Source organism: Homo sapiens, chromosome 8 (assembly GCF_000001405.40).
Source record: "Homo sapiens chromosome 8, GRCh38.p14 Primary Assembly".
In the NCBI taxonomy this organism is placed as follows: Eukaryota; Metazoa; Chordata; class Mammalia; order Primates; family Hominidae; genus Homo; species Homo sapiens.
This window is the reverse complement of record NC_000008.11, coordinates 19,530,453-19,554,088: the sequence shown is the minus strand read 5'-3', so window position 1 is coordinate 19,554,088 and position 23,636 is coordinate 19,530,453. Positions and strand designations below refer to the sequence as shown.

General features: G+C 38.7%; 1 protein-coding gene across 58 annotated transcripts in view, besides 1 other annotated feature; it reads left to right on the top strand.

The window, feature by feature from the left end:
* The window catches only part of CSGALNACT1 (chondroitin sulfate N-acetylgalactosaminyltransferase 1), a 353,748-nt gene that overhangs the window by 203,820 nt on the left and 126,292 nt on the right, over nucleotides 1–23,636 (top strand). Inside the window, exon 1 of one of the 58 annotated variants that reach the window (XM_011544583.2) lies at nucleotides 21,819–22,270. The exons of the other annotated variants lie outside the window; for them this stretch is intronic. The gene's annotated coding sequence lies outside the window, so the exon portion shown is untranslated. Of the gene's footprint in view, nucleotides 1–21,818; nucleotides 22,271–23,636 lie in introns of those variants that run through there. 58 annotated transcript variants of the gene reach the window in all.
* Nucleotides 16,218–17,417: an enhancer, noted in NCBI's record as "MED14-independent group 3 enhancer chr8:19394183-19395382 (GRCh37/hg19 assembly coordinates)". NCBI's record gives its function as "activates an origin of replication core promoter dependent on BRD2, BRD4, P300/CBP and CDK7 cofactors, and independent of MED14, by STARR-seq in HCT116 cells {active_cell/tissue: HCT116}" and the evidence as "EXISTENCE:reporter gene assay evidence [ECO:0000049][PMID:35650434]".

Sequence of the window (23,636 nt, the reverse complement as noted above, 5' to 3'; positions counted from 1 at the left end):
TCTCTTACTAATTTTCTCTCATTTTTCTTCTTCACTTTTTCTGGGGCTCCAACTGGATGTTGAACAATGGACAAACTGGAAATTAGATGGTTATCTTTTCTTATTTTTCTCTATTCTGAAAGATATCTTCAGGTTTATCTTCCAAGCTTTTATTGATTCTGGGTGTGTGTGTGTGTGTGTGTGTGTTCTACGAGTTCTTTCTTGTTCGGTGATTATTTTCCTCATGACATTCTGTACTTATTTTGTCAATGCAATGTTTTCTCAGCTCTCTGAGAACAATAATTACATTTCAGAAACCTCTTATTTCCTTTGACCTTTCTATTATCTTTGGGGTCCCATTTGTTTCTCTTTTACATTGAAATTTAAAATCCCTCACTGGTTTTGTGCCTTAATCATCCTTGGGTGTCTGCTCATTCATAAGAAGTAATAGAAAGGCTGACATATTTTTTTATATATATATATATATATGTATTTATATACATAAATGTATTTTTATATATATATATGGTTTGAGCTTTTTGTATATAAATGGTTTAAGCTTTTTGTATATAAATTGTTTGAGCTTTTTGACTGGCAGGCTTTGTTTTGAGTGATAGGAGTTTGGGATAGGCGAGAGAAGCTCTTGCATTTTGGGCCTCCCAAATGCCAGAAGATAGAGTGCTTTCTTATCAGGTACTGATTCCCCACTCACAGGCATTTAGTGAAATTTTGGTTCACTCATATTGGAAGAAGCCACATTTTTGCCCCTCTGTCTTGCCTTTTAGTTCCTTTAGGGTACCATTTAATAAACAGAAGGTTTTTTTCAATTTTATTTTAGTGTGGTTCAGTGGACCAATCTTTGGGGTTAGTGCTTTTTCTGTCTTGTTTAGGGAATCTCTTTTTAACCTGAGGTCATGAAGGTATTATCTTACACTTGTTTTTAGAAATGTTGTTTTGTTTCTCACATAGAGGTCTTCTGTCTGTCTGGAATTGATTCTTGTGTGAGGCCAGGCTCAAATTTCTGTACTAAAAACAAATGGGCACAAAACTATATTTCTTTAACAAAAACGATAACATAAAAATCAAATGCACAGTGGAGGCAGACGTCATGTGCTTGAGCCTTCCTTATGTTCTCCAGGGTGTGTCTTCCATGTATCCTGAGCACAGTCTTCCCTGCCTCTGTTTTTCCCCAGGGCCTCTCATCAGCCACTCTCCTGTTCTTAGTACGTTTTTGAAGGAGTACCTGTTTGCAGTTCACTTGGGAGGGTGAATGGGAAAGGAAAAGTTCTTTACATTCTGTTCTTATAAGCATTCTGTTTAGCTACAGTTAGACTTTCTTTTCATGACACTTTTTACACAAGGAAACTAATACTTTTTAACAGTGCAATCTGTTGCAAAGAAAAATTGAAAACATCAGCAATACAAATTTTCATCTCAGTATTGAAGTGCCATCCACATTTTGAATGTCGTCATGTTTTTAATGTATAAAAAGTCCATCTTTAATTTCCCTGAAAAGTGATGGGAGCTTGCAAGTATGTATCTTGAAACTGAGCTGAGCTTGCTTTAAAAGTCATCTTTCTTATCCATAGAAGGATGTTTCTATTAGACAAAAAAAAGAAACTTGGTCTCGGAGTGATAATTTTCTGCATGCAGGTCTGTTGGAAGGGAAAAATGCAGCTGGAAGGAATTGAGTTGTCAAATTAGCATTTTACCTTTAAGGAGTGGCCCATTTTCACTTTTAATATTATTCCAGAAAAGAAAACTCTACACCCTCTTCTGGTAATATTTAATATACTTCACTGTAAGTAAATTTTCCTTATGTGATATCTTAAGTCCACTTTCTTACTGTGTTTGAAATGGAAACAGAGAAATTAGGCCAACCATCTTGTGTCTATAATAATTCTTCATCTACTCAATGGCCATTATTAAATCCCTCATTAGTCTTCTTTTCATGGTATAATCTAATCTGTTTGTTTAGCTCTTTTAAGCCAGTTTCCAAATCCTCTAATTACTATTTTTTATCCCATCTGAAATCTCTCCATGTCATTTATAAATTATGATTTGTAGACTAAAAAATTGATGTAATTCTTTTGCCAGGGTATGATCCAGTGCTAGTTAACCTAAAGGAATGATACCCTATTTTAGAGAGTTATTCCAACCAAGACTTCTAACCTGAATTTTTTTCATGATGGAAAGATTTTTGAACTTACGGTTATATAGGACAATTGGAACACATTTGTTTATCTCTTTGTCCTCCTAAGACTACTGAACATGATAGGTAAAAAATAAGATATAAATTCCTAGGGACAAAGAAAATGTGACATGAGGCTTAGTGGGTGAGAATGTCAACAAATTTTTGGGAGATGGCAAGCAAATTGTTGAGTGGGAATTGGATTAGCAGAAGGGAGAGTACCGAAAGCCAAGTGCCCACTGGGAGGAAAGCCAACCCAAAGCAGATTGATTGGTGGTCAGAACTAGGAAAGCTTCAGACTTGGAACTGTAAGCAAACCAGACTGGATCTATTTGCTTGCACGCAATAGGAAGCCGAACGCTGAAGCATGGTTCTTCCAGGGAGAGAAGTTTATTGCCAGTGAACCGACAGGGAGACAGGAGGAAATGCTCTAATCTGTCTCACCCTACTGACTTTGCCACCCAATTGAGGGAGAGATTTTGCAAGTGGAGTTTCGGGTCTGCACAGAGATTGGCTTGAAGGGAAGGGGTTGGTAAGGGCCTTTGGGCATGTGCTGTTGTCCTGACATGCTTCATGGGCTGCTTGCTCAGAAAATGGTGGAATGAGCATGATCTGAAGGTGGAGTTTCCGGCTCTCTGAGGTCAAAGGTCACTCATCAATGAGCAAGTCTTTCCTACTCAGACTGCTGTCTGCCATGTTGGTTCCAGCTGGTGTCAGCCTGTTATCCGACTTTGTTGTAAATAAGGGAATTGTAACATACTCTTTTCTTCTTCAGTTGTTTTTTTCTTCATTGTTCTGCAAAACAAACTCTTGAAATTTTGCTGGTTAATAGCTTTTCTAACCCTGGGGCGTGGTTTCAGAACCACAAGCTCTGCCAGAAGACAGATGTGAAGGGTGAGGCCAAAACTGGTGATTGCTGGGAAGTCAGAATAAGGAGTAGTGGGAGCCCATTCTAACCACGTGTCTGGACAAATACCCTTGCAGGTATGTTTTCCAGAAGCCTTGGACTTGGAAACAGTAGATACAAATGAGAGTAGGGGTAAAGCATGCTAGAGAAAATAGGAGTTTTCTGTGAAAATCTGTATGGAATGGTGCTATCTTCCTTCTAAGCACCCAGAACTCTGACAATGGGGCTTATCTTCCACCATGCCAGGATTAGAGGATTCACATCTGAGAAAGACCAGTTGAAGACATTTGAAGGCCCCTGCCCCCCGAAATAAAATGGCTATGTCCTCACCCAGTGACATCACTTAAATGCACAGTTTTAGATTTCAGGGTAGACAGTGAAGGATCACTATACATTTGAGGATCGTCACCAAGATGAAGGAATGAGACCAAATAAATAAGCAGGAAAGACGTCTCAGAGGAAATAAGGGGAAAAGCGGGGAAGAAAAAAACTTCAAAAACCTATAATTGGTATTCTGTGAGACATTAGAGAAGATATTGCATCCATGAAAGAGGGCTTGGAAATGAGAAGCATGATGACAGAAATTAAAAATTCAGTGAGGAGTTGGACTGTGAATGAAATTGCCCAGAAAGTAGAATAAAAGCACAGAGATGGAAAACATGGCAGAGGAGGATACAAGAGGCTCACTTTAAGAAGTCCAAAATCTGTTTTTCTAATGAGTTTCACAGACAGGTGCAGTGCTGTACATCTGTTGTCCTGGCTGTTTGAGAAGCTGAGGTGGGAGAATTGCTTGAGCTCAGGAGTTTGAGGCCAGCCTGGGCAACACAACAAGACTCCTTCGCTTAAAAACAAAAACCTAAAAAAGCAAAGTTTCAGAAAGAGAATGAAGAAAATGCAGAAGAGACAACTACACAAAAATGCTACAGAATTGAAAAATATGAATTTCCATGTGGAAAGAGTACATTAAGTGCCCAGCACAATGAATGGAAGAAAAAAGACCAACTCCAGGACACATCTATTGAAGTCTGAATTAAAAACAAAAAGAGATTTCCCAAAAATGTTTAACAGAGAAAAGGTAGGTCGCATACAAAGGCTCAGCAAACATTCCAGCATCTGACTTCTTAGCAACAGTGGAACCTAGAAGAAATACAGCTGTACTTTCCAAATCTCAGGGAACATGATCACCAATCTGAAGCCTTTACCTGGTCAAACTGTCAGCCAAATGCAACGGTAGAATAGGGATATTTTCAGACAGAAATGCAAGGTCTCAAAAATTAGCCTCCTCTGCACCCTTTCTTGGGAAGTTTCTGGAGAAGGTGAGTGAATACGCCAAAAAAAAAAAAAAAAAAAAAAAAGTAGGAAATTGGGGAAAGTGAAGAAAGTTTCCTGATGGGGAGAAAAGGGGAAGTTTCAGGGTGACCTTTGAACATCACCTGTGTCAGGCCTGGAGAACAGGCTGTCTTGATTGGACCAGGGGATGAAGAGACCAGGAAGGATGGCCTGAGGAAAAAAACAAAAGAAATTGGAAAAAGTACCTAATTGTTTATCTATCAGTTTTCTAGTTCTGTGTTAGAGTGTGGGGAAAATTAATGTTAGATACATAGAGAAATCAACCAAATGAAAAATTGAAGCAGTTATTAATAGCAAGAAAAAACAAAAAGTTGTCTAAGAAAACTATAATGACAGTGCATCATTGGGCTTAGTTAGGAACAATATTTAAGACAAAATACTGTTATATAAATAGTATTATTGTTACTAAAAATTGTAATGGTTAAATTGATTGGATTTTCGAGGGGAGAGGATGGAGAGGAAAAGTGTGTTGAAAAAGTAAGAGAACTAAATCCTGATCTTCCACACTGGGATACCAATTGCTATTAAAAAAAAAAAGGATAAGCAGCTAGTCTTGCTGGCTTATGCGTGTAATCCCAGCAGTTTGAGAGGCTGAGGCAGGAGGACTACTTGATGTCAGGAGTTGGAGACCAACATGGGCAACATAGTGAGACACTATCTCTGTAAAATTTCAAAGAGTATAAGGCATGGTGGCATGCACCTGTAGTCTCAGCTACTTGGGAGGCTGAGGCAGGAGGATCGTTTGAGCCTGGGAGGCGGGAGCTGCAGTGAGCTGTGACTGCACCACTCTACTGTAGAAGGGCAAAAGGGCAAGGACCTCTCTCAAATAAAGGGATAAGCATGGCAGTTGAAGAACGTTACCTAAAATATGAAGATAAATACTAAAGAAAACAGCTAAAAGAGTTGAAAGTGTCTTTTGATCATTTGGACTCAGGGAAGTTGGAGAGGGCAAAAGGCTGCTATTTTTAATTGTCAGTCTTATAGTACCATTTGATTTTAAAATCATGTGCTTGATAAAAGTTAAAATAAATCCATGTATATAAAAGTATATTTACACATGTAAAATTTTAACATATTTCACAAAATGTTTTAAAAATAATATTTGAGAAAAACTAACAGCAGTGAGTTTTTGGAATATATTGAAAAGTAATCTATTGTTTAGTTTCATGTGAATAATGCATTTCACAAAATATTTTTTAAAAATAATACTTGAGAAAAACAGCAGTGAGTTTTTGGAATATATTGAAAAATAATCTATTTTTTAGTCTCATATGAATCATGAGTTTAGAGTCATGGTTGGTTTGATATTTGATATTGGAATTTGTCAGAGCTTTATTATTCACACTTACTGTCTAACTTAATTTTTAATATTAAGCAATTTTAGTGTCTAACTTTATTTTCAATATTAAGCATTAGAAAAAAGTGCCAGAATCATTAGAATTCAGATTTGCTATCCTTGAGGAAAATTCCAGTTGGACTGAAATGGGCAAGTTGCCTCTCCTCTCTTTAATAATTAGTGTTTGGCTGAAATATAATCCAAATTCAATATTTAGTTGAAACATTTAATACTTAATCCAATAATAGTCTACTTCCAGCTTTGGACATTTCCAGACTTTCAACCTCACAGAGTTAATGTGAGCGATGTTACATCACTCGTATGAATCACTTAATACAATGCCGGGAATATGGTGGGAACTTAGGAAAATGGCAGCTGCTCTCTCCTCTTTCCCATCAATAACTACCAACCCCCTGGCAACACACCCAAATCCCTCAGGGTCTGGCAGTGGCCATCTGGTCCTCATCACCTTTTATGTAAATGTTACTCTTTCTTTCACTTCTCAGTATTACTTGCTAGTAAGGAATTTATTGTACAAATCAGTGATCCATCTCCCTTTTTCCAAGTTTTTAACTATTATACTTGATATAAGTGAAAGTTTCTAGAGTATACTTTATTGTATTCTACGGTATTAGTCTGTTCTCACACTACTAATAAAGATATACCCGAGACTGGGTAATTTGTAAAGAAAGAGATTTAGTGGACTCACAGTTCCACATGGCTGGGAGGCCTCACAATCATGGTGAAAAGCTAAAGGCACGTCTTACATGGTGACAGGCAAGTGCAAAGAAACGAGAGCCAAGCGAAGGGGGAAACCCCTTACAAAACCACTAGATCTCGTGAGACTTATTCATTACCATGAGAACAGTATGGGGAAACCACCCCCATGATTCAGTTATCTCCCACTGGGTCTCTCCCACAAAACATGGGAATTAAGGGACCTACAATTCAAGATGAGAATTGAGTGAGGACACAGCCAAGCCATGTCATTCACAAAACACTGAAATGCATTCTGATTCCAGTTAGTTATCAGACTTGGACCATAGATGACCAGTTAGAGCTTTTACTTGTCACTTACTTGGCTGTGTGTTATATTACACCTCAAAAATACCAGCAAAGGAGGAGCAGACTTTTAACAAAACACTGCTGGCATTTTTGCTTTGTCCTGTGGCATCATGGAGCCCTTCGTGTCCTGGCCTTTTTTTCTTGCTGGAAAGACTGAGGATATCACTTTATATTTGTTATATTCTTGGGTATAGAAAACCCAGGAGAGTCTACTGTGAGACACTGGTAAGTTCTCAGACGGTGTTTCTGGAAAATCACTGTCAGGTATTTCTAGAGAAGACGCATCTGATGGATGATTCAGCTACTCTCAGCTCCCTCTGCGAAGAGCATCTTGACAGTGAAGAGATATTGTGAAGCCATAGGATCATTCTGCACCCTGAACCTTATGTGACACTGATCCGGGGACCTCAGTTGTGGTGGCAGGATCTGAGCTTGGTCTAGATTCAAACTCTGTAAAGAGGAGCCTTCCTAGTCACCTGTGTTTGCTTTTTAGGTTTCATCTGAGTTTGGAGGGGTTTCATATAGGTTTTTGTTTATTACATTTCTGTGCTAGTAGCAACAAGAATATTTATTGTACATTTCAGATATTCCCAAGAATGGGTAGGGGGAAGAAACAATATTCATGAGAATACTGACTTGGGAGAGTGGATGTGGCTGTGCAGCATCAGATGGTATTCCAAGTATTTATTTTCTAAATAATTTGATGCCACATTTGTTTAAGAAACTTGTAGTTAGCTTTGTGTTCCATCCTTAATTCTTAGTGATACTTCCCTATTTCATTGAAGAGTAGTGAGGCATAGTTATTTCAATGTTCTATTGAGGTCCATGACCACAAAGTCCTTAATATTCCAGAGAGGTTAATTACCACTTGATGATTATAGTAGGAATAAGATTGACAGATGGGTATTGTGTTGCCATTTTGGAGAAGGGAAAATAAAAGCCGTAATATTGAAGCACAGCCCTCTAGGCATATATGAAAGCCATGTTCAACTTACTTACAAAAACACGATTAATCATGTTTTATGTATTTATATACTTGACAGATAAATATCAGTGAATATGGAAATTGGGCAAAGCATACTAAAAATATATTCTGCTGAATTTATCTGCATATATCTATTTGTGCTATTGAATTGACTGTGTAAAATATATTGAGTCTTGTTTCCTTATAAAACTTCCTTCTTGTTTTAAGTGAAAAGGACTATTAAAATTTGATCTAATGGTATGACAACTGTATGACCTAAATTTTCTTGGGCTATCTGTGGAGGAATCACACACTATAACTATACATGCAGTTTGCAAATTGTGAGCTTTATTTTATTTTTTGTGCATTGTTTTGCTGTTTTAGAAAAATAAACTTATATATGTATACACATATAGCATATAACTTATATATAATATATAGTATATAACTATTATATATACATAATATATGTATACATATATTAATATATATAGATATATAATGTGTGTGTTTACAAATATATATATATATCCTTTTCTCAGCAGGTCTCATTAACGTCATCTAACTTTAGTTGCCTGGAGACTTGGGAGGAAAAGTTATAGTTTCGCATTAACCATTTCCTTACGTTTTTTCTCCCTTATTGTTTTACTACTTTATCTTTTTAGCATACTCATTCATTGACCCAGAGACATTTATTGAATGCATATTATGTTTGAAACACCATACTAGGCATTGAGGAGGAATAAAAATGTAAGACAGAGTCTTTGCTATCAGGACACTTGCCATCTGCTTTTTCATCTGACAGAAATCAATGATCATGTTTTATGCTTTTTCTACATCAGTTATTATCAAAGACAAAAGTTATAGGCATGAGGTGGCTTTGCCAAGATAAGTCTGCAGGAAAATTTTCCCCATCTCATTTTTCGTGAAAGGGTTATCTATGAATTTAAATGTTCAATTAAACGTTAATTGTTTTATAGAAAAATAATGATTTTTCTGGGATTTCATTCATCTCATTTCTGCTCAACCACAAGGACATCCTCATTTCACTACAGTAGGAGATACCAAGTATGGCAGCCACCTAACTGCTATGAACAGGCCTCCCTGGTGACAGGCAAGACTGGGTCAAGTCCAGAGATAGGATTTTAACAGTTTTATTGGAGGAAAATATATTTTCTAGCTTCCAGGGTGACATGGAGTGACTTCACTGTGCTTCAGAACAACTCCCAGGAGTCGCTGTGTCGTCGTGATTTATCCTGGTCTTTGGAGCTAAGTTATTGGAAAAAAAAAAAATGTCTGAAAGGATGGACTGACTGGCTTCTCCCCTGGTTCCCATTTTTTCTTTGAAAACTTCTCCTTTTTGAAAGGAAAGGAACTTCTGGTGTCCTGTGTGTAAACGATAGCCTCTTCCTTTGTTGTCTTCTTGGGGAACTTTTTTTATATCTCAGATACACAGCTTTTACTTGGAGAATGATGATGTCTGTATTTTTCCAGCAAGATAAATGAAAATTGGACCAATTATGCAGTTAAAACTGTACAAAAGAATCATTTAAACTTACAGCTACTAGAGGTTTATTAATTCACCCCTGGAATTTAGCATAGCTAAGCTCAGCATAGGTATGGGGCCCTGTTCCACATTACTTTAAGAATTATAACAAAATATTTGGATAAGGCAGTTTCAAATCCTCTCCAGAATTCTGAACACCAGAGAGGTTAAAAAGCAAAAGGGTCATTCAATCAGGTGGATATCTGTTCGGAGTTATCTTTGGTTTCATTTAATGGACTTTTCAAGTAGTTAAAGAAAACACACGAAATTGTTAGCTTTTTCCTTCAGCATTGGAGAAAAAAATAAAAATGTCATACTCTTAAACATCTAAGTTTCATGTTTAGTATGTTCAGTATTTCAATAATAAAAGTTATTCATTGATTTGTTCCCAATGTCTTTTAAACTACATAGATATTTTTAAATAGTAGAGATTAGTTCTATTAAATTATATTTCCTTAAGATTGGATTAGAGAAAGAAAACTGTGGTCTCAGTGGTGGTGGCACATATTCCAGCTGTCTGCTCAGTTTTATTTTGTTGCCTCTGGCAAGGAACAGATTTGTTATTCAGGCTCTGTCTAAATCTATAGTTTGACAGCCATGTCCTTGTGGTCACCAAACTATTCTTTTCCCATAAACTAAACAGCAGCAAAACAACTTGTTTAAAAAAAAAAAAAAGTTATGTCCCCACAATAGAAAACCCATTACATTAGCAGCATCAGGCTATGATGTATTTCGTGAGGGAAGAACAAGTGTCTTTATGTCTCTCTCCTAAAACTCTAAGCTGATCAGGAAGAATTTAATACTGGCACCGTCTTTTCCTCTTTAGAAAAATTAACAAATGTTAATGATCGACTGGTAAAAGGTCGTATTTTGTTTTTGGACTTGTTTCAGGGGTCCCCAAGGCCATCTACATTTTGAGTCCTACTAGGAGGACTCAGGATCAGCATTTAGTTGCACTTACAGTTATTATTAATTGCAGTGAAATAGCAAGAATGCATACAGTGTCACCAAGGGAAAAAGAGATGAGTGTAGTCTGGAGGAATCCATGTATAGCTTCCTGTGCACTGTACATGAAAGGCTACATAAAGAGTGCACCTTCCCCAGCTGGGAAACATGCAGCCACATGTATGCAGTTTCTGCCTGTGGAACCCCACTGGAGACTGTGAGTTTAGGGTTCATATTAGGAAGATAGTCACTTAGGCATTCTCTGTGTAGCAACCCCTGCCAAATACCAGGCTCTCAGAAAGAAAGTAGGGGCTCACTGTAAATCACAGTTTCTACAAACAGTCTAGGCACAGCAAAACAACCTTATCAGTTAGAGAACTCTTCACATACGTATAGAGAACTTTTTACAAGCCCCGTTCCCAGACATTGTCAAGGGCGGATCTTGCAGGACTTTCTAAGGAAAGCCTCAGGCGTGCTATGTTAACACTTTCCTGCACAGAACTGCAATTCATCTTGGTAAACAGTTTGCAAAAATACACTGAACCTGAAGTATAGGATGGGGGAGGGCAATGTGATCATTTCTCTGAGCTATCAAGATTAGGCTTCACATTTGATAAGGGCATCTGGAGCTGAAAATGATAGTATCTGGGGATTCTGTATATAATATACATCTAGTTTTGAAAACTCCGTGAGCCTAGTATTTGTTAGTTATAACTCAGTCATAATCTGGGTTATATTTTGCATATGTAACTGACTGCTTCCAAAGTTATGACTTAGGTTTCATACAATTTAAATTGAGTCTTACTGTTGGTAGCTTAGTCTAGACCATGCTCTCTGCTTGTTGATAGCTCATACCTCTCTGATATTTCATTATTGAAGTAGGAAAACCCAAATGAATTTATCAGGAAACAATTGGAATCTACAGAAGGGCTTCTTAAAATGCTTACAATGTTACTTTCATAAAATTAACCCCACTGCTTTAGAGCCATTTATGCCGTTAAAACAACTTATGAATTATGTTTTCTTCTTGTTTTGTTTTGCGTGACAGCTATCCTAAAAAAAAATGATGGGGTTTTGGATAGATGAATTAATAAAAATGATTAGATAATGAAGAGATGGCTGGCAGAAGTGGCCGCCTATTTACCTTCCTACTAGGAGTCAAATGTGTTTTGCATCTCTACACAGATTCTTAAAACTCCCCCATAGAAATTAATCATCATCTCTTGTTTTGGTAACTCCATTAGGATTTCTCAGGGTGTCACTCAGAACCTGGGAGGTTGAAAAGAGTCGGGGCAGCAGGCGCTTGTGCAGGAAAGGAGAAAAATAGACCGAGGGCTCTGGGACTGGGAGACTGTCACATGGAACCCCACTATGGAGCCTCTTGTTTAAAATATTTAATGATTCCTTTGCCGCTAATACTGTTCCAGTCTTCTGTGAAATAAACATTCTTCCCTTCTTATTATGGCTTAAGTGACACAGTCCTGGTTTGACGGACAGTGTTTTCTTTATAGGGAATTTCAATGGCTTTCCTTTGAGCTTAACTAACAGGCTTCAGTGAATAATAACCCTGTGTGTGTGTGTGTGTGTGTGTGTGTGTGTGTGTGTTTCTTGTGCTGTCTCTCTTCTTTCTTTAGTACTTGGAATGAAATTTTGTCTAAATCAAGGAGCTCACAGAAGAAAGCATTTGGAAAACAATTCCTTGTCATTTATTCTTTTTGCTTCCATCAAGAACTAGACAATCTCCTTGGTTAGAGAATATTTTTTATCATAAGATCTATCCATGCCAAAGTTTTCTCTTCTTTTGTGTAAACACATCTTGCCTCCATTCCAGTATTTGGTGATAACTGAAGACCTTTTCTGTGAAATGTTATGAGATTCAAATAAGAACTGCCAGGAGCAATATTTGACATGATCCTACAGGGATTTTTATTTAACAGTGGCCCTTCATTCTTCTATTGCACACAGTTATTTTAAGAATAGGAAAATAGAAACATTGAAGAATTACATGTTTTATTACAAAATACATTTATTAAGATAAACACTGAAAGCTTACAAAAGCCAAACTAACAATAGTAAAAATTACTTAATAAAGAATGTATCAGCCAGGCCAGGTGCAGTGGCTCAGGCCTGTAATCCCAGGACTTTTGGAGGCCAACACAGGGTGCATCACCTGAGGTCAGGAGCTGGAGACCTGCCTGGCCAATGTGGTGAATTCCTGTCTCTACTAAAAAAAAAAAAAAAAAAAAAAAAAATTGGCTGAGCACGGTGGCTCACACCTGTAATCCCAGCACTTTGGGAGGCTGAGGCAGGCGGATCATGAGGTCAGGAGATCGAGACCATCCTGGCTAACATAGTGAAACCCCATCTCTACTAAAAATACAAAAAAAATTAGCCGGGTGTGGTGGCAAGTGCCTGTAGTCCCACCTGCTCGGGAGGCTGAGGCAGGAGAATGGCATGAACCCAGGAGGCAGAGCTTGCAGTGAGCCGAGATCACGCCAGTGCACTCCAGCCTAGGTGACTAAGCAAGACTCCGTCTCAAAAAAAAAAAAAAAAAAAAAATTAGCCAAGTTTGGTGGCATGTGCCTGTGGTTCCAGCTACTTGGGAGGCTGAGGCTAGAGTTTCTCCCTTACCTGGGAGGCAAAGGTTGCAGTGAGCTGCGATCATGCCACTGCATTCTAGCCTGGGGGACACAGCAAGACTCCATTAAAAAAAAAAATTATCACCCAGAGAAAATACATTAGTATAATTTTGCCACATGCATCATGAGCATAATTTATAGTGAAGGTGATAAAGAGTTAAGATGTCATTCTTTCTTTAAATGACCTACAGTCTGGGGACAGGGTAGGGGCTTGGAGAGTGTTGAGAGAACTGGCAGCTATAGCTCAGTGGAGGAGTGCTACCTCAGGGCATTTAACCTAGACTCACATGAGTCATCCTGGCAGGTGACATCCATGCTGATACTGAAGGATGTATGGGGATTATTCCAGCAAAGGGAGAAAGATGATCCGGTGGAGGGAGAGGAAAGGCTTCCTGGGCAAAGGGAGCAGGGTGAACAAAGCTCTCCAGGCAAGAAGACAGCGTGACCCATTGAGAAATCCACAGCATATAGCACTGTGGCTGAAGCGTAGAATCTAGGACGTAAGGGCTGAGAGTTGAGGCAGGAGAAGGAAGTAGAGATCAGATCACAAAGAACCTGGCCCACCACATTAAGACATTTGAAATTTTTCCTTATGTTGCTTTTCCTTCCAGTCTCTTACTGATACATAAGGGTCTCTGCTAAGTTATAATCCCAGTGCAAGCATTTATTCAAAACAAGTGTTTATAAGCAGATACTGTGTGTCAGAAACTGTGAACTCAAATTTTAGTCACTTTTGTATCCACACAGTGAGCCGATGGGGTACGAATCCAGGGAGCAAGAGGAGGGGTGTAGAAGACCTACTTTATAATCCCGACCCAGGTAACACTAAAGAATAAATACTGTTTTCCATGTTACCATGCAGTCCCTTTAATAGCCTTTTTAACGTCTGCATGATAATTCAGCAGACAGAAGGGGCATAATTAACTGGATAGGACATGATGTTCTGGTCACGTATTTAGGTCATTAGACTATTTTGGAAGCAAGGAAACAATTCCAAAATAATATGAAGCACTGGGGTATTGTAAAACACATGCCATGGGAATAGCCATTTTTTTCAGGATTAGGGACAACTGGAATGATGTTGTTTAGCGTTAGGAATTCATGATCTTTAGTCTTTTGTGGCTCTGCTACTCTCTCTGTGTCTTTGGGTAACCTCCACTAACTAGTTGACTAGTTCTCTCAGTATTTCTTCTTTCAAGAGGGAGGAGTCTGATGGAGCCAGCTACTCACCCCAACTCCTCTCAGGCAGAACTTTCTTTCCAGGCTACCTCATAGGTATCTCCCCTCCTGTCCCCCTCCCTCCAAGGCCATGTCACTGCCCATCTGTGTTTAATAGCCTAGAACTCCCCTCAGCAGGGGTGTAGGAGGGGCATCGCCTCTGGAAGGGGGTGGAGAATCACAGTCAATGTGGCCAACATTTTTAGTGTCACTTGTTTCCATTTTTTTCTCAAGGATAAATATTGCTGTGTCACATATCACTGTGCATACTCCTGTTGTGGCCTGACAGTGCAGTATTTAGTAGGACTGCCACCTCCTTTAATCTGGAAAGTATACATTTATCAGGACAGTCTTGGTTGCATTATATTGCTTGGCTCTTTTTCTACTTAACAATTCTCCTGATATTCATGACTTTCAGAGAAGCCTTGCTTTAAATTCCCTTCCAGTCAAAAACGTACTTATTCAGTGCTTTCTATATGCCAGGCCCTGTGCTGAGGACAGAGGTTACGGTAGAATATAGGACTTGGAAGATCCCTGTTCTAATGGACTTAGCTTTCTTGAAGGGAAGGCAGATAATAAATAAGAACATTAATAAGATTAATTTCAGATAGTTTCTTTCTATGAAGGTCAAAAGGTACACACTTGTAGTTATGTAGAATGAGCAAATTTGGATATCTAATACATATGAGGACTACAGTTGATGATATTGTGTACTGCAAGTTTGCTAAGGGTGTAGATGTTAGGGATTCCTAACCACACACACACACAACCCACTGACTCTGTGAGGTGTGTAAATTTGCTTGACTATAGTAATCATTTCACTTGGTATATGTATATCAAAACATCAAGCTGTACATGTTAAATATATACACTAAAAATATAAAAAGAAAATATAACAAAATGTGATACAGAGTGTCTGGTGGTGAAGTTGTAGTTTCTCCTGTATGCCCAGCACAAGGTCTTTTGGGAGAAACCATCTCAGCTGACACCTAACAGAAGAGAAGGAGCCAGGAGGGACAACATCTCAGGATGAGCGGTCCAGGCAGAGCAAATGGACACACACTAGCTCAGCGGCAAGGTTGACCTTGGTAGGCTCAGTGAGGAGACACAGAGTCTGGGGGCAGGGGTATCTAGGAAGCAACGGAACCAGGATAGGAGGCCTACTTTATAACCTTGACCCAGATGTGCAGAGTGAAGTCCACAAATCCTGCTGTTTCAATTGATCTTCCAGCCATCTCCAGCTTGTCTTGCCCAAAGTATAAGTCATGGCTGTTTCTTCCCAGCCTGTACCTCCCCCGGTCTCCCTCAGTTCAAGAAACTAAACCTTTATGCACCGAATGTTGGCTGATGTTATCCTGAAGGCCTCCTCCTTCTCACTTCCCCATGCAAATTACCCAGTCCTTTAATCCTGCGTTCGACATGAGGTCAGGTTCATACATTGCTCTCTACTTTTGTTGCCCCCATTCTCATTCCAATTACAAGTATCTTTTGCCTGCATCATTGCTTTGGCCTCCTAGCTGATTTTCTACCACAGTGAAATGTCTGTTCATGTCTTCTGCCCATTTTCTAATTATATGACTTTTTTTTTATGTTGTTGAATCTTGAGGGTTTTTATTTTTCCCTTTTCAGACAGGATCTTGCTCTGTCACACAGGATGGAGTACAATCATAGCTCACTACAGCCTCCAACTCCTAGGCTCAAGCAATCTTCCTGCCTCAGCCTTTCAAGTAGCTAGGGGACTACAGGCACATGCCACCATGCCTGGCTCACTTTTATTTTCTCTTTTTCATTTTTTGTAGCAGTATCATCTTGCTTTGTTGCCCAGGCTGATCTTGAACTCCTGGCCTCAAGCATCCTCCTGCCTCAGCCTCCCAAAACACTGGGATTAGAGGTATGAGCCACTGCACTCCACCAAGTGTTCTTTATATCTGACTAAAGGTTGGTGCTAGTCCTTTGTTAGATACATAGTTGGCAAATATTTTCCCCAGTCCATAGCTTATCTTTTCATTATCTTAACAAAGAATTTTGCAGAGCAAAAGTTTTTAATGAAGTCCAATGTATGTTTCTTTGATAGTTCTTATGCTTTTGGTGTCAAGTCAAATAGTACTTTGTCTACTCTTAGATCTCAAAGATTTTGTCCTATGTTTTTTCCTAAAAGTTTTAAAAGTTTAATCTCTTACATTTAACTCTGGGATGCATTTTAATTTTTGTATGAGGTGTGAGACTTAGGTTGATGTTCCTTTTTCTTTTGTTTGCTTATGGATTTGTCAACTGAAGGATCACTGGGTTTATAAATTTGGAAAGGGGAGCTTTATTTCGCATAAAGGGTTGCAGCCTGCAGGCTTCCCATCCTGTAGGCTTGGAAGGGTAGTCTCTGGCAGAAGCCAAAAGCAGACACTTTGAGTGAGGGGTAAAGGGAACAGGAATTTATGCTGAGTGGGGTGGTCAAATGTACATATTGAATAATAAGTCATGAATATTTATGAAAGGAGAAAGAAGCAATTGAGATTTATGCCTCTTCAAGGTTCACATGCTTTAAAAAATGGCAGCCTTACCATAATCGAAGGGTGGAGTTTTCAGCCCTCTGAAGCCACGAAGACCGTTTACTGCACACCCTCTGTGAGTCAGACAAACTGGCTTAGAGACTGACATTTTAGGAGGGGGATGAATTGTGGAACTGGTGAGCTGTCCCATCAAAACTGCAAAGAAGGAGGGGGAGTGTAGTTACAGCCTCAAATGATTGGCTCAAGGTAATAAAGAAACAAATTAACCATTTCTTGTTTTCCAGAGCTAGTTTCTGCTTACTCATGAGGAAAGAATTCTGCTTAAAGGTTAATAAGGAAGGGACATACTGAGGTGTGTCTGACCTCCCTTGCTGTCATGGCTAGGAACTCAGATTTTTAAGGTTTCTCTGGGATCCCATTGGCCAAGAGGAGATCAGTTTGTCGGTTGGAGGGGGATTTAGGATTTTATTTTTGATTCTCAGATTGGATATTCACTTGCTCCAGAACCAGCACCATTTGTTGAAAAGGCTGTTTACCCCCGTTGAATTACTTCTGTACCTTTGTGAAAAAGCAGTTGGACGTAGCAGTTGTACCTATTTCTGGGTTCTCTATTCTACTTTGTTGTTCTGTATATCTATCTCTCTGCCACTACTTCTGCCAGTCTCAACTGCTGTAGCTGTATAATAATTCTTGAAACTAGTAGACTGATTTCTCCCACTTCATTTTTCTTTTTGAAATTATTTGCTGTTCTAGCTCTTTTGCTTTCTTACGTAGATTCTATAATCTTCATATGTACAAAGCAATCTTGCTGAGATTTTTTATAGGAGTTATATTAAATTTATATATCAATTTGAAGAGAATTTATTTCCTGTTGAGTCATGTAACTCCTGATTACATTTTCCAATCCATGCATCTATTCATTTAGATTTTTAAATTTTCATCTGTGTCTTGTAGTTTTCAGCACATAAGGCATGTACATATCTTGTTAGATTTATACCTAAGTATTTAAATTTTTTTTAGTGATTATAAATGCTCTTGTATTTTTAATTTCAGTGTCCATATGTTGATTGCTATGTGTGGAGATGCATTTGTTTTTTTTAACATTTTTTACAAAATTTTGAAGTTCAGAGCAAAATGAAGAAGGTACAAAGATTTTCCATATACCCCTTGCCTTTACGCATGTGTAGCCTCCCCTGTTAACAACATTCCCAACCAGAGTGATATATTTGTTAAATTGATGAATCTACATTTTACATCATCATCACCCAAAGTTTATAGTTTACATTATGCAATTAAGTGTCATATATTGATCTTATATCCTTTGTTCCTGCTGGACTCACTCACTTACTCAAGGAGTTTTTTGTAGATTACTTGGCATTGCCTATATAGATCATGTCTTCTGCAAAAATGGACAGTTTTACTTCTTCCTTTCTAATCTGTATGCCTTTTCTTTTTCTTCACTTGCATTGGCTAGAACTTCCAGTACTAGATCTATCAAAAGTTGTGAAAATTAACATCCTTGCTTTGTTCCCAGTCTGAAAGGAATGTATTTAGTATTTCACCATTAAGTATAATGTTAGTTGTAGGTTTATTGTAGATATTCCTTATCCAGTGGAGGAAATTCCCTCTATTCTTGCTTTTCTGAGAGTTTTAAATTGTGAATGGATGTTGAAGTTTTTCAAATGTTTTTTGACATCAGTTGATAAGATCATGTGATTTTTTTCCTTCTATGGCTTGCTAATATGGTGTATTACATCAGATTAAATGGATGGGTTCAATTCATCATCTTACAATCAGAATCATATTTAGTTTTTAAATTTCTGAAAATTGACTTGGAGCACTACCTGAATTGGTTGATCATTGTTTAAATGATTTTAAATATTCAAAGTTTTATTGTTATTAATGGACATTTAATTGAACTAGTGATTTTGAGAACTAGTTTATATAAGTGTATTTTGTCTAAACCCTCCAGTCAGGAGAGTTCAACTGGTAAATCACCCCTTATAGAGAGATCCTTTTAAAATAGTCATCAACTTTTAACTAATTTTTCACTGCTCTTTTGGAGTAGAAGTTGTTAATGGCTAAGTTATCTTGAGCCGTTAGTTTTAGAAATAGCTTAAGGGACATCTTGGATGATGAATCCTTCTTTGAGGTGCTAGAAGAACACGCTGAAATTTTCAGGCTTCTAGAGAGCCAGATTTCATAAAATTAAACATAGGAAATAATATTTCTTTTCTATTTTTTTTTCAAATGTTGTCATTTATATGTCAGTAGCAGGCACAGGGATGATAATTTGGAAATAGGTTTAAAATGTTTAAATGTGTTAGGAACCTATTTCTTCACATTCTTTCTCTCAGCACAGATGGTTTTAAGCCTTTGCTTTTCTTTCCAAATACTCCCTGATACTCACTGCTAACTCTGTCTTTTTATTTACTTCAACCTGGCAACATCTTTTGGTGGTGTCAGCCACCACATATATTTCGGCAGTGGTCAGGGATTTGAAGCTTCTTCTGGGAGGAAATATGGCGAAGTGCAATGGATAGACACAAAATATATGGTTATAATCACCAAGGCTGTTTGGATTACAAACTCCCCACTTGACTTGAAGAAAAAAGATTGCCAAATGCAAGATTAGTTCTAACAAACTGCTTATGACGATTATTTTATTTCTTCTAGGCATTTTTACGCCTCTTTAAACTGTCATTCACTGAGCATTTTAGACGTGTGTGAGAGAGTTTAGGTCACTTGGGGCTTTCTCGTTTCTGATTCGGTTTTCGATTCCCGTCTGCTTTTAGTCATGCCAAGAAATAGTTCTTGGTGGATTTCATTTAATTTTCCCTGGCCCCTGGCTGAATGGTACCTGCAGGGTCATGATTGGTGTGTTTTCCCCACTTGTGCACCACCATCTACAGCAATGCAGCCGATGGGTGTCCGATTCCCCAGGAATCTGCTTCTTGATTAAATAAGTACTCTTACACAGATTTTTTTTTTCTTGAGATGGAGTCTCACTCTGTCACTCAGGCTAGAGTGCAGTAGTGGGATCTCAGCTCACTGCAGCCTCTGCCTCCTGGGTTCAAGCTATTCTGCTGCCTCAGCCTCCTGAGTAGCTGGTACTAAAGGCACCTGCCACACCTGGCTAATTTCTGTATTTTTTTGGTAGAGATGAGGTGTCACAGTGTTGGCCAGGCTAGTCTCGAACTCCTGACCTGAAGTGATCCACATGCCTTGGCCTCCCAAAGTGCTGGAATTACAGATGTGAACCACCACACCCGGCCTCATATGCAACTTAATATTACATTGAACTATGAACTTGCTAACATCAAGTATTCTTTCAAACTTTATACTATTTGTCACACATCACTGAATATATTTTTAATATTATACTTATTTTAAATTTAGATTTTGAAAGGAAATAAGACCAAATTCTGCATCTGAGTACCTCAGAACAATTGATTTGGCATGGGGGGAAGGTAGGGAGAGACATGCCAAAAAATCTGGGGAGATTATTTTGGTGTAATAGTAAAGATTCTCTTTTTCTTCCCCTCATGGTTTTAAACATCTTATTATTTTGACCCTTTTAAAAAATCTAAGCTTTGTTTTCCATGTATTCCCAATTAGACTGCATATGTTTTGGAGAAAAAGAACTGTAAAAAGCTCTTCTATATGCCTACAGCAATGAGCATTATGATCAGTATATTATGGGAGCTCAACATACTGAAACTAAGCGTTATTCTGCATTGTCGATGCTGTTAATACACAGAAAGAGGAAGAGCCATTCCTTGCTCTCAAAGAGCTTACAGCCTATTAGGAGGATGTGAAGTACATGAAAAGATATGATCAAAAATATTCTATATGAGCCATAGAAAGGTTAAACTCTAGTGCTTGAAGACCAAGCAGGATAGAAGGTACACTAGCGAAGAAAATCTTCATGAACCATTTGATATTGATAAGTCTTGGAAGAGTAGGATTTGGAAAAGCATAAATTAAAAATAGGGAAATTAAATTAAATTAGGATAAATTAAAAATAGGGACTCATGGCTTATGACTGTAATCCTAATGCTTTGGGAGGCCAGGGCAGGAGGATCACTTGAGGCCAGGAGTTTGAGACCAGCCTGGGCAACATAGCAAGACCCCATCTCTATAAAAATAAAAATAAAAAAATTAGCTAGGTGTGGTGGTATGTACCTGTAGGTCTAGCTACTCAAGAGGCTGAAGTGAGAGGATCGCTTGATCCCAAAAGTTTGAGGCTGTGGTGAGCTATGACATCGTCACCACACTCCAGCCTGGGTGACAGAGGGAGACCTTGTCTCTCAAAAACAAAAACAAAAACAAAAACGTCAAACTGCTTTAAGACTAAACAGGATAGAATATACAGTAGAAAAGAAAAGCTTCATGAAAAGTTTGACATTTAATATTTAAGATAAGTCTTAAGGAGCAGAATTAGGAAAGGAAAATAAAAGTTGGGGTAGAAGAAGAGAGGACTATTTTAGACAAAGATGACAGTGTTGATCGGATGGGATGTATGGCAGTTGGAAAATACTGAGTCCGGTGGATAAGCAGCTTGTTTTGTAGTTCACCTGTAGTACAGAGAAGTGGGGTATGTGTAAACATTTCCTTTGGTGTAGATGGATCTGAATCTAGCATTTTAGGTGACTCCTCGCTCTCTGTACCTTCTCGCCAAGGGTTAACCAGCCTGAACATGTGTATCTGTGATGAGGAAGAGCTCACTACCTCTTCAGGCACCTTCTGCCATCTGAGTACTCGTATGACTGGAATATGGTAGGAGCCAAGGCTAGAAGGCAGGGAGAGGGCCACATTAGAAAGACTTTGAGGGTCAGTGTGAGGACTTTCCAGGTCATTATTTTTGAAAATCATGATTGAAGCCATGGTTTAGTAAAACTATAATGGCAGCTGTGGTGAGGATTTGGAGTGGGAAGACTGGTTAGGGAGCTCTTTTGTCATGATAGGAACCTAAAGCAGAGAGATGTTTAAGGGAATAGAAAAGAGAAGACAGACATAAAAGGCTTTTGTAACACGGCTCATGTTTTTGAAAATACCGGGCTCATATGTCCTCATCCCCAGTCACCCCTAATTGTTCCTCACTGCCCTGCAGCTTTGCATCCATTGAAACTGGGATAATTGTTGTTTTGGGAGGAGGGTGGGTATAGCTTGGATAAAGAAGCCATGGCTGCTGGGCTTCCAGGATCAAAATGAGATTGTTTTAAGGTCCAGAGCGAGACAATAATGTGCAAACAAACATGTTTTTTTTTTTTAATTTCCAAAAGCTAAACTTGTTGAGAGACAGAAAGAAACAGCGACGAAGGCTCTGTGCTCTCCTACCAGCCAAGACCAACAGAGCCTAGAATTTACAGTACACCATGGCATTCATGCAGGATATGATGTCAGGACTATTTTCCTTAGAATAGGAAAGAAAAACTCAACCAGCAGGCAGGAAGTAGAGAGATTCAGAAGGGCCAGGCTCCTCTTTTCCCTTCCAGAAGCCCAAGCATCCAGGGAAAAGGGAAGGGGCAGGCAGGAGAAACCCAGAGGCCCCATCTGCTGGAAAGACATTGAGCTTTGGACTGGGCAGTACCTGCATCTGGCCAAAAGGAACCACTGGATCACAGTGAGTAGAGCAGAACAGGCTATGATGGGTGGTGTGCTCCCTGCAGACTGGGGACGTGAAAGCCAAGTTGAATTTGCTTGCAAACAACAAAGTTCTTTTGTTCCACCGAAGTCACAGTTGATAAAAAAATTTCACCTTGGCTATACTCTGAAGAGGTGAGGTGTTGAGGGCTCCTGCCTTGAAGTCATGAGATTCTATGTCAATTTTCCTTGCACCTGAGAAGCTGAGACCCAGAGAACTTTAGTGATTTGCCAAGGTTACTTAGTTGGTAAGCGGTGGTGTTAGAAACAGGACTTGGAGATGCCATTGCATTGTAAATTTTGATAGTATTTTGTAAATAAGGGAACTTAAATAAATGAAGTGATCCACTCAAAGCTGTGGCTCCAGCTAGGACTGAGCTGGGTGTTCTGCCTCCTGCCCTGCAATTTCTTTAGCAGTCCAGAATATGTCTCATGGGAATGGCAATATTAACGTCCATCCCATTTGACTTACATTGACTTTTTAAATTATGTGGAGCTATGAGTGAAAATTCTGGCAGACTGATTATGTTACATTCTTTTTAAGAAGCTTGTGCTTTTGGGGTTTCAATGTTTCCAACTCTAAAATAAAGATGATAGATATCTGCCTCCCTTGGTGGAATGTCATGAGGATTTAGAAAATAGCTCTATCTCTGAAGAGTTTCAAGCTCCCTGGAATTAGTCTAAGGTTTTAATTTTTCTTTTAATCATCAAGATGTTTTCATGTAATAGGAAATGGAAGCCTTAGCAAGAAACCACGGGTTCAGATTCTTAGGTATTCACACTTGAAGTGTCAGGCTTGAAGATCAGCTGATACTGATTGACTGATGACAGTTTCTGTGGGGAGTGGCAGAGAACCCCCTGTAGGTTCAAGGCAGTGGGGCTAGAGGCAGTAACTCCACACACTCCAGATTGCAGGGAAATATTTGTGTTGAACAAAACTTCTGTTGCTCATTTCGTGTGACTCTTTTTTCCTCACCAGTCCCTTTCTCATTAGAAAGTCTGTGACTTCAGGTAAATAGTCTTACTAACTTCATGGACAATCAACTTTTTCCTTTTCTATTCCTTTATGAGATAAGGTCTTGCTCTGTTGTCCAGGCTGAAGGGCAGTGGCACAATCATAGCTCGCTATAGCCCCGATCTCTTGGGTTCAAGCGATCCTCCAGCCTCAGCCACTTGAATAACTGGGACTCGAGCTGCGAGCCACTGTGCCCGGTGAACAATTTACTTTTTTCTGCTGTGCTATCGGTTTTACATTTTTTTAGAAGTAAGAGTTTAGCGACTGAATTCTAGTAAAGTTTACATGTCATGATTATAATGCATAAATGTAGAGACTAAGTCATAAATGC